Source organism: Homo sapiens, chromosome 21 (assembly GCF_000001405.40).
Source record: "Homo sapiens chromosome 21, GRCh38.p14 Primary Assembly".
NCBI lineage: Eukaryota > Metazoa > Chordata > Mammalia > Primates > Hominidae > Homo > Homo sapiens.
The window spans coordinates 43,018,812-43,034,202 of NC_000021.9; the positions used below are offsets into that span (position 1 = coordinate 43,018,812).

The 15,391-nt window shown below is 47.1% G+C and overlaps 1 protein-coding gene across 8 annotated transcripts in view; it reads left to right on the forward strand.

Annotated features, from left to right (window-relative positions):
• Window positions 1–15,120, forward strand: part of PKNOX1 (PBX/knotted 1 homeobox 1) — a 59,370-nt gene extending 44,250 nt beyond the window's left edge. For all 8 annotated transcript variants that reach the window (XM_047440826.1, XM_047440828.1, NM_004571.5 and 5 more), the window contains 4 exons: window positions 2,492–2,620; window positions 6,060–6,136; window positions 9,891–10,063; window positions 11,079–15,120. In XM_047440826.1, the coding sequence (XP_047296782.1) occupies window positions 2,492–2,620; window positions 6,060–6,136; window positions 9,891–10,063; window positions 11,079–11,290 (591 nt within the window). In that variant the 3' untranslated portion in view covers window positions 11,291–15,120. The remainder of the gene's footprint in view (window positions 1–2,491; window positions 2,621–6,059; window positions 6,137–9,890; window positions 10,064–11,078) is intronic.
• Window positions 15,121–15,391: the final 271 nt, after the last annotated feature.

Sequence of the window (15,391 nt, forward strand, 5' to 3'; positions counted from 1 at the left end):
GGCCGGGCACGGTGACGTCTGTAATCCCAGTACTTTGGGAGGCCAAGGTGGACAGATCACGAGGTCAGGAGTTCAAGACTAGCCTGGCCAGTATGGTGAAACCCTGTCCTTAAAAATACAAAAATTAGCTGGGTGCAGTGGTGCACGCCTGTAATCCCAGCTACTCGGGAGGCTGAGGCAGGAGAATCGCTTGAACCCGGGAAGCAGAGGTTGCAGTGAGCTGAGATCGTGCCACTGCACTCCAGCCTGAGCGACAGAGTGAGACTCCATCTCAAAAAAAAAAAAAAAACATTGATTCTGGCCGGGTGCAGTGGCTCACACCTGTGATCCCAGCACTTTGGGAGGCCGAGATGGGTGGATCTCTTGAGGTTAGGAGTTTGAGGCGAGCCTGTCCAACATAGTGGAACCCCGTCTCTACTAAAGATGCAAAAATTAGCTGGATGTCGGGTGCATGTCTATAATCCCAGCTGCTCGGGAGGCTGAGGCAGGAGAATTGCTTGACCTGGGAGGTGGAGGTTGCAGTGAGCCGAGATCGTGCCACAGCACTCCAGCCTGGGCAACAAGAGCAAAACTCCATCTCAAATAAAATAAAATAAACAAAAAAAAAACACACATTTTTTTGAGACTTTGCAAACCTAAAAATGAGTTTATTTTAATCTCATATTTGATATGCAGTCTGTTTACTTGTAGAATTCTGGGTTGAAAATCCTTTCTACCCAACATTGAGAAAGCATTACTTTTGTTTTTCTGAGACGAAGTCTCACTCTGTTGCCCAGGCTGGAGTGTAGTGGTGTGATCTCGGCTCACTGCAACCTCCACCTCCCAAGTTCAAGTGATTCTCCTGCCTCAGCCTCCCGAGTAGCTGGGATTACAAGTGTGTGCCACTATGCCTGGCTAATTTTTGTATTTTTAGTAGAAATGGGTTTCACCACGTTGGCCAGTCTGGTCTCGAAATCCTGGGCTCAAGCAGTCCGCCTGCCTCGGCCTCCCAAAGTGCTGGGATTACAGGCGTGAGCTACTGCACCCAGCTCTCAAGAAGGTTGGTGTTCTTTTTTCCAATCTTTTGTGTTTTTCTCATCTTTTAGAAGCTTCTCTTTTTTTGCAGGTGCTCTGATTTTTTTTTTTTTTTTTTTTTTTTTAAGAGACGGTCTCGCTCTGTTACCCAGGCTGGAGTATAGTGGCACAAACACAGCTCACTGAAGCATTGACCTCCCAGGCTCAAGCAATCCTCCCACCTTCACCTCCTGAGTAGTGGGACTACAGGCATGTGCCACCTTGCCCAGTTAATTTTTAAATGTTTTTGTAAAGACGGGGTCTCACTATGTTGCCCATGCTGGTCTTGAACTCCTGGGCTCAAATAGTCCTCCTGCCTTGGCCTCCCAAAGTACTGGGATTACAGGTGTGAGCCACTGTGCCTGGACTAAAGTTAGGTTTATATGTGAACTCTTAAACAGGCTGACCTATCCATGCTGCGGACCCTACGGAGCGATTTTGCTTCCTTCCTTCCTTCCCTGGTCTGCGCAGTGCGCAGTGGCAGCATCATCTCAGCAGGCACCTGGGGAGGGAGACGCTGTGTGAGGGAGGCCGTGCCAGGGCCTGGAGCACGGCCTTGTAACGAGCAGATCTTCTCTCGTGTTTTGTGAGAAGGAATTTAACAAAGAAATGCCATTCACATCTTTTTCTTTTAAAATGAAGTTGGCAGAGTAGCCTACGCTTTCCTGGGTGACAGGAGGGAAGGTCCGTATCTCTAGTGCCTGTGGAGGCGTCTGGAACAAGGAGTCAGCCTGTGCCCTCCTGTTCTGCGGACCCTCTTTCTGCCTTTGTGCTGTTTCTGTTTCTTTCCCCTCTGCTCCCCTGGCGTGTCCTGCTCTTGAGAGTTGGATTTTCTGGTGTCCCTGTTCATTCTCATTGGTCCTTGACATCCCTTTTCGGCTAGGAAGTCACATGTTCTCACTGACCTCGCTGCAGGAGGCACAGGTGGGAACAGGTGGTGGGTGAGAGGACCACGGCATTCCTGCCTGCAGAGGATGGGCTCTGAGCCTCCCTGCCTGAGAGGCCTCTGCAGAGCCAAGTCACTAGTGCAAAGACTTATCATGTGCCAGCCTGGGCAACAGGGCGAGACCCTGCCTCTACAAAAAGTAGAAGAAATTAGCTGGGTGTGGTGATGCGTGGCTGTGGTCCCAGCTACCCAGGAGGCTGAGCTGGAAGAATCACTTGAGCCCAGGAGTTCAAGGCTGCAGTGAGCCGTGACTGCACCACTGCACTCCAGCCTGAGTGACAGAGCAAGATCCTGTCTCAAAAAAAAGAAAGGCTGGTCATGTGGAGGGAGCCGTGTCCTGAAACATCAGTCCACACAGGGTTCCCGTGCATGGGCCTCGACTACAATCATTTCCCTGTCCGATCCTTGGCTGTTTTCTCCACCTGCAGTTGTAAGTACTTGGATATGTGAGAATTTCCTATGCTTTCTAATGTTATTTTTCAACTTTAAAAGCTTCAGTTACAGTTAAACCAAGATCTCAGCATCTTGCATCAAGATGATGGTTCATCTAAGAACAAGAGGGGCGTCCTGCCAAAGCATGCCACGAACGTGATGCGGTCCTGGCTCTTCCAGCACATCGGGGTAAGGACGGCTGGGCCAGCCCTTGCCTTGCAGCCCTCTGCGACGCTTGCTCTCTGGCTTATGTGTCATGGAAAAGGGTTACTTCTCTGGGCTCAGAAAATCAAAGGCCTGACTTTCAGGACTTTGTGGCATGTCCATAATGTGGGGAGCGTGGGGCACTGCTGCAGGGAACTTGAAGGGCAATGAGGGCTGCCGTGAAGGAGCACCCGAGCACATGTGAGGCGTACACGTGTGTCCGAGACAGCCCACCACGAAGGGTGATGGGGTCAGGTGAGCCAGAAAAGTGGGCAGAGAAGGGATGTTCTTGGGCAGCAGCTGGGGAAGTTGCTGTGTTTCTGTGTGTTGGATTAACAAGGAAGCTGAGATGGGTTAGAGACATCGCAGGGCCGGGTGCACCCACAGGTGGGCCACCGGGTGGGTGCCTTTAGCTGGAAGCGAGTTTGTCCCACAGGGCGCGCCGTTTTGCCCAGCACGTGTGCACCCGGCTTCCTCCCCCGGGCCATGGCCGCGTCTTCTCCCTGTCCCCAGGACATCTTAGGAAGTGCAGTGGTGGGCCTGCTTGCTGAGTTGATGGGGGAGACCTGCTCTGCACGCTGTGTGGCACCATTGCTGCCAGCCTGCTGATCCAGGGCAGGAGAGAGCAGGCGGGGCTCTCCTGGGACAAGCACAGGGAGGCCAAGGCGGGAAGGCAGACGCCAGTTTGGCTTGGCCCTAAGTTTGCCCTTCTCCCCTGCTGTCGCCACTGATTGTTGTGAGGCTGTGGCCATATCCGCCTGTGTCCCAGCCTCCTCCTCCTCGGCCTTCTGCACTGCATCTGCCCTGCCCTCCCACTGTCTCCTCTCCAGGGTGCCTCCGCTGGGGCTGAAGCCTGTTTGTCCTCAGCACTCTGTCCTTGCCCTCCCCTGACTGTGGGCCCCTGAGCCCGTAGCCATCTCGCCATTTCGCGGCCCACTTTCCTCTGGCTGCCTCGGGCTCCTCAGTTGAGGATAGGGTCCATGGGAGTGACTGGCCTGAGGGCTTGAAACTGGTGGGTAGTGTTGCTGAGTGGTCCTGGGAGGAGAAGGGCCCTCTCCTGGGCAGAAGGCCTGGCAGGAGCCTGGGCTGCGCCTCTTCTGCTTGCCTGCCCTGGCCTCTTGGTCTCCACCGAGCCGCTTCCATGGGCATAAAAGGTAGCAAGCCACACATGTCAGGAGAAAGGCGTGCTACCTGTGAGCAGCGGGGCTGCTCCGAGAAATTGGTTCAAAGAGATCAGTCACAAGAAAACGGAAAGATTTGTGTGTAAGAATGTTAGTGTCGTTCAATATAATAATGGAAAGCAGGTCGGCATGTAGATGGGGACGTACTGGTTTGATGGAGTATCATATGCATAGTTAACATGAGGAATGAGGGCTCTAAGCAGTCGGGAGGTTTAGTGAAGGATAGGAAGTCAAAAGGCAGCATGTTGGTATATTTACACACATTGCGATTATTACAGCCAATCAGTATATGTATAACATAATGATAGAACAACACCAAGTGGTGGGATTGGGTGAGTACTCTCCTTTCAGGTTTCCTTTAATGTTTTAATAATTTCTCAAACAATAAACCCTGCCCATCATGTCCAGTGAAGACGCCGCGTTTTTTCCTGTGGGGCGTCCTCAGTCCCTCCTCACCCTCGTTTCTTGGCAGCGCCGACCCCCTGTAGTTTCCCGCATACTCTGGGGCAGCATCTCTGGCTGTTTGGTGTTTTCTGCTTGTGTGCTCGTGTTTCCTGCCCTGTTTCTATTTTATGAGCTTTTTAAAGGGGGAGAACAGTATTTCTGTTTCCATGACCTTGAGCTCAGAGCCACACACTCATTGATGGAGTCAAGTTGAGTCACACTGCCGTTAGTTTGAGGAAACAAACCCATCACTGCTGAGGCACATCTGAGGCCGCTCCGTCCCCATGTGATGGGCAGGGGTGTTTCCACGCCGCACTCAGTGTTCCTTTCACGTCAAAGCCAAAGTAAACTCTCACTGCTGACTTTGCTGGTACCGTTCATTCTCTTGGGTCCTTGTTGATCCCAAATCAAGGGCTTTAGTGCATTCAGGTTTTAGAGTAAATGTCGTGTTGGTTTCCACATATAGACAGTCATCAACCTTGGAGAAATTATTTACCATAGCTAGAAATCATTTTCGGTTGGTACTTCTGTGAGTTTTGCTATCTAGTTCTGATTGGATTTTTTTTTTTTATTTTTCTGCACTCCCAGGCTGGAGTGCAGTGGCGCGATCTCGGCTCACTGCAACCTCCGCTTCCTGGGTTCAAGCAATTCTTCTGCCTCAGCCTCCCGAATAGCTGGGACTACAGGTGTGTGCCACCATGCCCGGCTAATTTTTTGTATTTTTAGTAGAGATAAGGTTTCACCGTGTTAGCCAGGATGGTCTTGATCTCCTGACCTCGTGATCTGGCCACCTTGGCCTCCCAAAGTACTGGGATTACAGGCGTGAGCCACCACACCTGGCCAGATTTTTTTTTTTTTTTCCCAGATGGCCAGGCTGGTCTCGAACTCCTGACCTCAAGTTATCCACCTGCCTCAGCCTCCCAAAGTGCTGAGATTACAGGCGTGAGGCACCGCGCCTGGCCCTCTGGTTGGATTTTTTGTATGTGAAATGTTTCAATCATACATAAAAGAAGAATACCATAGCAGGCACTCCTGTCACCAGCCCTGGGTTCAGTTCCTTACTGACAGCACAGGTGAATCCAGCAGAGATCTCACCCCAGGAAAGCCGTCGATGGCATCAGCTTATCCCAGTGTCAGTTGATTCCTGTGGTACCCATGATGGAAATTTGTCCCCCAGCCTGCCTGGCCATTTCCTACTCCACCTGTTTCACCAGCTGTGGGATGGGGGCAGTTTGTAAACACTTCATGCCTCAGTCTCCTCTTCTGTAAAATAAAGACACTGACAGTGACTGTCTCAGCAGGTGCTTCTGAGGAATCAGTGAATTATTATAGAATGGACCAAGGTAATTGAAATGTGCTGTGTATTGCTTGTGGCAGAGGCTCCCGGGCCAGAACGCATCCACCCATCCTCTTTATATGGATGTAGTTTATTGTTCATAAGTTAAAGTTCAATAAAGTTGATAAAGAATCTATAGATTGTATCAAGCCTGGTGTAGACTCACCGCTGGACTGCATAGCTGCTCCTCATGATGTCGCTGCTGTTATCGTCACCGCTGAACCGTTAAACGTGGGGGGCGGTCTGCCTTGGCCTATGCACTAACCAGCCACTGCAGCACTAGGACATTCCTGGGACGAGGAGAAACACTTTGTTCGTGAGACTACAGTTAGGTTTTGGCTAGAAGCACTGTTGACGTGACCATTATTTTCTAATGATTATGTAATGCTCACATTTTGCCTAAATCGTCTTGATTTCCTTTGTAAACTCGAAGGCCATGGTAACCTTCTTTTTTTATTTTCAGCATCCCTACCCAACAGAGGATGAGAAAAAACAGATTGCTGCTCAGACAAATTTGACACTACTCCAAGTCAACAACTGGTAAGGTGCCCTGCTTCCTGAAATCATGCTGTCAGCACGGTAGAGCACTTGGAAACCCTGGCACCAATACATGGTGAAATCTTGCTGAAAATAGGAGGTCTCTCTTTTTCTTTTTTCCCAACTGAGACGGGGTCTTGCTGTGTTGCCCAGGCTGGTCTCGAACTCCTGGCCTCAAGTGATCCTCCCACCTCAGCTTCTCAAAGTATTGGGATCATGGGTGTGAGTCACTGCACCCGACTAAAAATATGAGTTCTTTTAATGGGCAATGGGAGCAGGAGACTTAGGAATAAACCAGGTTCAACCTAAGTTTTCATATCAATACCTCATTATGGACTGCATCCTGCCTGCCTCTTTAGAGCTGTTTCTCTAGGGTGCTACTGTCCCCAAGCCCCACATTCATACAAAACTGTGATGTGTTGTTAGTGGATGAGCCTCTGGATGGTGGGAGGCCAAGAGTGAGAGGTCCTGCCCCATGAGGGGACCCTCTGCCACTCTTTCTTGTGGGGGTCCTGCTCCACAGAAGAGTCTGGGAGCCATTCCTAGCAAAGAAACACCCAGGAGGACATTTCATAAAACGTCCCCTTCTAGTCCTGCTGTCAAACATTGCTGTGGACACTTAGACTCTGGCCAGATGTATTTTCTTCAGTAAGGGCTTGTGCGTGTTCCTAGGTGGCACTGAAGTGGGGGGTGGTCTTCCATTTTGGTTATTAGTCACTTGTCACATTTTTTAAATTTACTTATTCAGATGTAGGAAACAGTTTCAGCTTAATAAAACTGGCATGCATAAAAGAAGAAAGCACAAATTCTTCCAGTTGTAAACATTATTATCTTTATCTTAGCTGTGCTAAAATGTGAACTTGTTGAAGTTCCAGCAAGAAAGTCTTTGTCTTTGTGCAGTCGTGTGTGCGGGAGGTATGCTTCGGGGTTGCATAAGTACTTCCATGATCCTGCATTCTTGCCATTCTTTTAGATGTGGGTAGTCACAACAGACTATACTATTTGCGTTATTTCCTGTTAAATCTTTTAAATAGAATATTAACAAAAATTTAAAGATTCTGAGTATGTTGTTGCTGCAGTGGTTGTTATATTCTGCTCATGTGCTTGTTTTCCTGGAGCTATGTGGAAACCACATACTTTGGTTGGGGCACACCTGTGGTGGGTGGGCTGAAGTGGGAGGGATGCGTCTCTGGATGTGCTGGTGCCCCGTCACTGCTCAGCACCCTCCTGCTTTTCTGCATTCATGATTTCCTGGTGTTCCCTGACTTGCTACTATGTTACATTAACGAATTGTCTTATCTAGGTTTAGTATCAACTTTTAATTTTTAGTAATAATAACAGTTTAATAATATAACTTAAAAATTCCAAATTTCTGAAATCTTTAATATTTGTAGCTACTTTTACTTTTTGTGACTTTCTTTTCTTTTGTATTTACAAACATTACATCTTGGAGTGAGATACACACACCCATCATTAGTTCATGCCTCTGCTGGTAGCAGCTTTGAATAAGAATGATTTAAAAACACATTACAGGCCAGGCGCGGTGGCTCACACCTGTAATCCCAGCACTTTGGGAGGCCGAGGTGGGCAGATCACGAGGTCAGGAGTTCAATACCAGCCTGACCAACATGGTGAAATCCTGTCTCTACTAAAAATAGAAAAATTAGCTGCGTGTGGTGGTGCACACCTGTAATCCCAGCTACTGAGGAGGCTAAGGCAGTAGAATGGCTTGAACTCGGGAGGTGGAGGTTGCAGTGAGCCCAGATCGCACCATTGCACTCCAGCCTGGGCGACAGGGTGAGACTCAGTCTCAAAAAAAAAGAAAACAACCAACACATTACAGTAGCAGTGGGGCCTTCCCTCCCAGGTCTCGCTGGGGTTGTGGGTGGCCATGGAGCTTGTGCTGCAGGGATCACCAGGTTCCTCTAAATGAAGCATGGCGGGATCCGATCTGCTTCATTATTATTAGACTGTGTGCTAATATAATTGTAGATATTTTTAAATCTTGGACTTTTAAAATTAAGCAACCTTAGAGCTGATCCAGTTCTAGTGTTGTTGTTTTGCAGAGGGGGGCATTAAAAAAAGAAAGAAGTTGTCACAGTGACAAACCAGAGTAGAATCTGAGTCTAAAAGTAATGCTTTTGTTTCCCTGATATCGTGAACATGGCTACTCAGCTATCCAGATAGAGAAGTCTGGCTTTTAATAGATGAGCAATGTGTGACTCTAGCAAGAGGTCAACTACTTTATCATTCATGTTACTGAAAAAAGAAGACAGAAACGAGGCCTTAAGCATGGTTGGTATTGCTGCTTTTGCGTTAGGTTGGGGTAATGCATGAATCTGGACGGGTTCTGGTTTGATAGGCGCTTTCACGGGACAGATGTTGTTTTTCTTTCCGTTTCTTTCCATTTCAGCTCTTTTTGTAGCAAAGTGGCCCAGTCAGTGGCATAGGGTGGTGGGTGCAGCAGAACGCATGTCTGGTTTGCTATCTTTGTCCTCTAGTCACTGCAGGAGGAAAAGCTGGCCTAGGGATTTGAGTCTCCTTGCACTTTCTCACATTTAAAGGCAACAGCTCATAGCATAAGAATGGGAACTGAAGACAGCAGCCTTTAATCTTAATGTATTTTGAGATTGCTATCATACTCATTTGATATGAAACAATGTCCAGCCTGCCTTGCCAACCTGTGACTGTTGGGCCAGGTGCAGTGGCTCACATCTGTAATCCCAGCACTTTCGGAGACCAAGGCAGGCAGATCACAAGGTGAAGAGATCGAGACCATCTTGGCCAACATGGTGTAACCCCGTTTACTAAAAATACAAAAATGAGCTGGGCGAGGTGGTGGGCGCCTATAGTCCCACCTACTCAGGAGGCTGAGGCAGCAGAATCGCTTAAACCCAGGAGGCGGAGGTTGCGGTGAGCTGAGATCGTGCCACTGCACTCCAGCCTGTGCGACAGGGCGAGACTCCATCTCAAAAATACAGAAACAATGTCCAGCCTGCCCTGCCAGCCTGTGATTGTTGCTGCTCTCGTTCTCTGTGGAGTCTTATCACAGGCGTGAGTGCCTGGTCTGACAGAGTCGCCAGCGTCTGTCGGGGATTTCATCACTGCTGGTGCCTACGTGCTGTGCTGGCCACATGTCTAGGACCACTGGAGGACTTACGCCTCCAGTCATCTAAGAAACAGCTCATCATTGGGAATGGTTTTTGAAAAGATGCAGCTCTTGCCTTAGATCGTGCTTTGTGGTGAAACAAGAGGAGGTGGCAGTCCCATTCTCTGATGGCTCAGACACGTTGCCACCCAGAGGCTCGGCCCCGTTGGTGATCTGGTGACGTCCAGACGAGTGCAGACTGCCCGATCGTCTCAGGCATGATGGCACTACAGAAAGTCTTGCTTCTTTAACATTTTTCTTCCTTAGGGAAAACAGTGTCAGATTCACAAATTCAACAGTATCATCTATGTCGTTATGAGTATCTAGTTCACAAACATGCCCTAAAGGAGTTGAGACAAAAAAAAAAATGCCATGGACGAGTTGGTGCTTATTTGCATGATTTTTAAAACAACAGGCTCTGTGTTTCTGGGCATTTAGAGAATTCAGAAGAGCTGTTGAGTCCTCTTAAGTAGTTACTATAGTGGAGAACTTGAGTCATTCTTTGTAGCGTGCTTCGTAGAGCAGCGTGTTTGTTAGAAGGATTTGTTAATCCTGTATAGGGTCTTTACGAAGGCTGTTTTCATGGAAGCTTCTCTTTGTTGACTCCAGGTTCATCAATGCCAGAAGACGAATTCTTCAGCCAATGTTGGATTCAAGTTGTTCAGAGACCCCCAAAACAAAGAAAAAAACTGCTCAGAACCGGCCAGTTCAGAGGTTTTGGCCTGATTCTATTGCATCAGGAGTCGCACAGCCACCGCCGAGCGAGCTCACCATGTCGGAAGGTACAGGTGGCCGGCCAAGGCCAGACATGGTGGACCATGGGGTGGGGATTATGAACAAGAGGCCTGGATCAGGCCTGTTAGCTGTGAGCCTCAGGTAATGTGGTGAACGAGAGTGCGTGGTTCTCTTTCTCTGCAACTAAAACATGAGGAAGCTGCATTCTGCGTGCACGGGAGCTCTCAGTAAGAGTTAGGAGCACCAGTAGTAGAGAATGTAAAACACGTGATAGAGATATGAAATCATTAATTCTGTCTCAAAGACACAGTCATGCCCATGGATCTTCTCCTTTGCTTCTGTGTTTGCTCTCCTTTTCCCTCCGACGCCGGGTGTGGAGGAGGGACTTACCCCGTTCTCACCACGTGGCTTCTTTCTCTTCATCCCCCATGCCCTTCTCTTGTTTTTGCTTGTTCCCTGTGGCCTCTGCTCTCCATCCCCTGACGTAGGCAGCCATTCTGATGTGTTTTATAGGCATCTTTCTGTTCGCATGAGGTCTTCATATTTTGGATGGTTTTGTGTGCATGTGTTTTTATTTTTTTTTATTTGTTTGCTTTGTTTTTTTTTTTTTTTTTTTTTGAGACAGAGTCTCACTCTGTTGCCCAGGCTGGAGTGCAATGGCGCAATCTCGGCTCACTGAAACCTCTGCCTACCAGGTTCCCGCCATTCTCCTGCCTCAGCCTCCCGAGTAGCTCGGAGTAGCTACAGGTGCCTGCCACCACGCCCGGCTAATTTTTTGTATTTTTAGTAGAGACGGGGTTTCACCGTGTTCACCAGGATGGTCTTGATCTCCTGACCTCGTTATCCGCCTGCCTCAGCCTCCCAAAGTGCTGGGATTACAGGCATGAGCTACCGCGCCCGGCCCAGAAACAGTTTCTTAAATCCCTGTTGAACATTCCCTAAACATATATAGGTGTTTTATTTTAACTTTAGGTCAAACGAGCAAACAGCACCCAATTGAGTAATAAAGTGTTTTTCTGTGAGTACTAATTTAAATAATGACACACCTTCATCCTGCCGCAGGAGCTGTTGTCACCATCACCACGCCCGTGAACATGAACGTGGACAGCCTTCAGTCTCTGTCCTCGGACGGGGCCACCCTGGCGGTGCAGCAGGTCATGATGGCAGGGCAGAGCGAGGACGAGTCTGTGGACAGCACAGAGGAGGATGCGGGTGCCCTGGCCCCTGCCCACATCAGCGGGCTGGTCTTGGAGAACAGTGACTCCCTGCAGTAGGGGCAGGAGCAGACGCACCTGACTTTTTGGAGTTTGCACAGCAAACATTTTACACAGTTTTATTTCTAATATGTTTTATATGTAGATATAGAAGAGTGCACTTTTGTATTTCATAGTAAGCTTAAAGCGCGTCTTTGCCGGTGCAGCGACTTCTTTCAAGTGTGTGTGTGTGTGTGTGTGTGTGTGTGTGTGCGTGTGTGCGTGTGTGTGGATTTTTAAAGAAATTCTTTAAAGGTTTAACGCTAGATTGTGAGGAATGACACACCACTCCCTCCCCACCTTGAATCCCTAATTAGATTAAGGAATAGCGCTGCCATTTTCTAAACCGTGATGCGGTTGTCACTTAGTTCTGTGGTTCCAGCAGATCTCAGTGGGCTGGTTGATTTGTGTGGCCCATGGATTTGAAAGAAGCTGCTGCACCCGAAACTGCCAGTGTGCGGTGACAACGGCACACGCCTAGACTGAGTGTGGTTTCGTCGTGAGTGGATGGACGGCAAGCTTAGCAAGCCTAAGTCCCCTCATGTTCAGTGAGCCTGTTTCATTTGCTATATAGAAAAAGAAACTCCTATTTTTACCTTGCTGGAATTATTGGATAAAAAAGCTATTTTTATAAATTCGTTATGAATTGGATGATGACTATATTGAGGATAAAATTTCTAGAGAAGAAACAATACATGCTTGCTATTAATATTTCAATTTGGAATGTTCTGAATTGACCAAATTTAATGAACCTGCCCAAAGTTAGCTACCGTTCCATGGTTCTTTGCTCTCCCCGGGTAGTGATGAACATTTACTACTATAAAAGAAACAGCTATTTAATGAAATTTTGATATCTGCAAATTTTTGTTGATATGTAATGCTCAGATTGCATTTTACACTTGATCTAAACATATATCGAAAGATATCTGCTAAACAGGACTTCAGGTAAGTGAGGTGAAATGGTAGCCAGTGACCCGTTAGGAGCTCTCACCGTACATACTCCAGTCTAATTTAAATCTGACCACAGTTGCATGGTCGCTTTACCATGTTAGCTGTGTATTGTTTTAAAAGTTTTAACTTCAAAATATGTTATGCACAGAATGTTTATTATAAACTAATATAAAATGTGCTCTACCCCATTGGCTCAGAGCTAGGGCAAACAGCAGATATTCAGACTTTATTACTTAACTAGCGGACATCCCTGGAGTCCCAGCAGCGAGCTGGTCTGGCGAGGGCACCTCGGCAGCCCCCACGGGTTGGCTCCTACGTTTGCGTTTGTGGCTGGTCTCCTGGTGTCAGTGTTCTCTTGTACGTTGTTGCTTTCGACTTTTCAGAGCCCTCCTGCTCACTTGACCACGTGAGATTTGGAATAACTGTAGGACTTCTGTTTCCTGGTAACAAGATGAACCGAGAGAGTGGGCTGGGTTCTGTTTTCTTTGGTTTTGATTTGTTTTCATTGTTTACTTAGGAGTGGTGCTTTTTCTCAGAAAACAGGCCACGGTGTTTCATACAGAATGTCTTCATATCATCTGAAATGGTATGGCTGAAGTTCATTTGTTTACAGGGTCGGGAATGTCTTCAGTTCTTGAGAGTCAACAGTAATGATTGGTTGTAAGCCAAGGGACATTTTAAGCTAGTGAAGAGTTTTTTCTGGAATTGATTTTTCCCAAAAGAATATATTAATTGAGGTTAAGAAGTCAGTGGGAAACACACAGAAATTTGTTTTAAAATCTTTCAGGAGCTTTACTGAAAGACTTGGTTATCAAGTCTTTTGGGGAGAGAATGACATTTTTTTTTTGAGACAGAGTTTTGCTCTTGTTGCCCAGGCTGGAGGGCAATGGTGCAATCTCAGCTCACTGCAACCTCCACCTCTTATGTTCAAGCAATTCTCCTTCCTTAGCCTCCTGAGTAGCTGGGATTACAGGCATGCGCCACCACACCCGGCTAATTTTGTATTTTTAGTAGAGATGGGTTTCTCCATGTTGGTCGGGCTGGTCTCGAACTCCCGACCTCAGGTGATCTGCCTGCCTCAGCCTCCCAAAGTGCTGGGATTACAGGTGTGAGCCACCGCGCCCGGCCGAGAATGACATCTTAAAGCCACCATTGCGTTCCTCATTTGTGAACTGTCTTCTCATATTTTAAGTCAAGTCTATAAGATCATTTTTAACCTAAGTTCCAACTTTGTTGGACTCCTTAAAATAAGCACCCATGAAAGCCAGCCAGCCCTTCCTCCTTCCCTCACCACCCTCCGTCTCTTCGGCTGCTTGCTCTTTAGTGTAGATTAGTGGAAGCCATTCACAGAATGTAGACTCATGTATAGGTCACCGTTTCTTTCCCCCACTAGAAATCACATTCACTAAGCAGTGGATTGAATTTAAGAGTGCTGCCCCTGCCCGGCGCAGTAGGGCGTGCCTCTAGTTCCAGCTACTCGGGAGTCTGAGGCAGAGGATGGCATGTGCCAGGAGTTTGAGGCTGCAGTGCACTATGCTTGCACCTGTGAATAGCCACTGCACTCCATCTTGGGCAACACAGTGAGACCCCCATCTATAAAAAGAGAGCACTGCCTGAACCTCGGTGGCACTGGGAAGCTCTGGCCTGAGAGTTAAACACCCATGCTGAATGATACAGTGTGCATTCTCTCCAGCTGCAAACTTTCTTCAACTTTCCTAAATTCTTACTAAATTCAGAGGAATAGGATAAAGATCACTTAGAGAAAGGGTGCTTATGGACATAGCCTGAGTTTCCTTTAACCTCTCTGCAATGGGTGCTTTTAACTAGCTTCTACATGGCAAGCTGTTTCAGTTTGCAAAATCACTGCCCAGCATGTTTGAGGTCAGTTGGCACCTTAAAACACCTGTTCTCCAGCCCTTGGACAGTGGAGAGAATCTGTAAAAGTGTGACCCCCTCTAAGATTTCGTTTTAAATGATCAGATTCGGTTCCAGTTTTATTCTTGTTGAGTTTTTCCCTATGAAGGCTCCTTTTGAATGTGTCTTGAGACCCAAATTGAGCATGTTGCTGTTATTCCTGCCCTGCACCTGTGGAGCAGGAGTGGCAGGGCTGGCTGTGCTGGGTTCCAGCTCGCTCCCACCGAGGGACTAGCTTGGCCTTTGCGCTTTGATTCCAGATAGTAAGATGAGTGGAAGTGTTTATCGAGCATGCAAAAGAAACCCTCACGGCTAAGGGCTCTGGGAGTTGTGTCTGTGTGACCTGAGAGTGATCCATCTCCTGCCTGTGTGAGGTAGCAGTGGGCACTTTTCATTGAGACAAACTCCAGGGTGTCCAGAGGGGGTTCTGCCCCTTGTGAAGGCCCATTCCTGGCACTTAGAGACAGAAAGAACTCAGCAATCTTTCGTTCTAGTTATATTCGGTCTTTGAAACTGACAATCTTTGAAATGTGAATACTGTAACAATATGTTTTCTTGGATTGTTGTCTTTAAAAAGGATTTTTGTGAAGCAATTGATTTATCAAAGCAAAAAAATTAAAAATAGAAACTTGCTTTATGGATGTTTTATTTTATAAAGCTCATGTCACCAAAAGCTGCTTCTCCATTTTATGTAAAACATTGAGAATGTTTTCATGTTTTCTGGTGACATGTAGGGTCTGTAGTCACCCCTGCATATTGAGAAACTAGGACCACACTGCATCGGACTAGTCAGGTCCATTTACATGTCCAAGAATCTTTTCTTAAATTCCTTACTTTGTTCATTCATTGGCTGTTCAGGCAGAAAATGGAAACAGGTAGCTTTTATGTTTTTTATTATAGTTTTCCACAAATCTAATTATTTTGATAGTTACAAGAAGATAATGATTCATCAGTAAGCTAACATAATCCCTTTCATAGTTCATATTATAAATTTTCATGACAAGAAAGTTCCTGAAGATTTAAAAGGTACATTAAAACAATTTCAGAGGGTTTTTAATCTTTGTTGTCCAGAGTGTTATAACTCCCAACAACTGTTCATGCTTAGAGGCTAAAGTCAGCAGACTTAGTATTTTAAAAACCACATGCAAAATTATGAGTCTTGTTGGTAATTAGTAGTGACAGCTGACTGTATTGTTTCAAGCAATGTTTTCATTGGTTACAGAAAACTGAGGCACTGTGTTGTATTTCCAGCTCCCT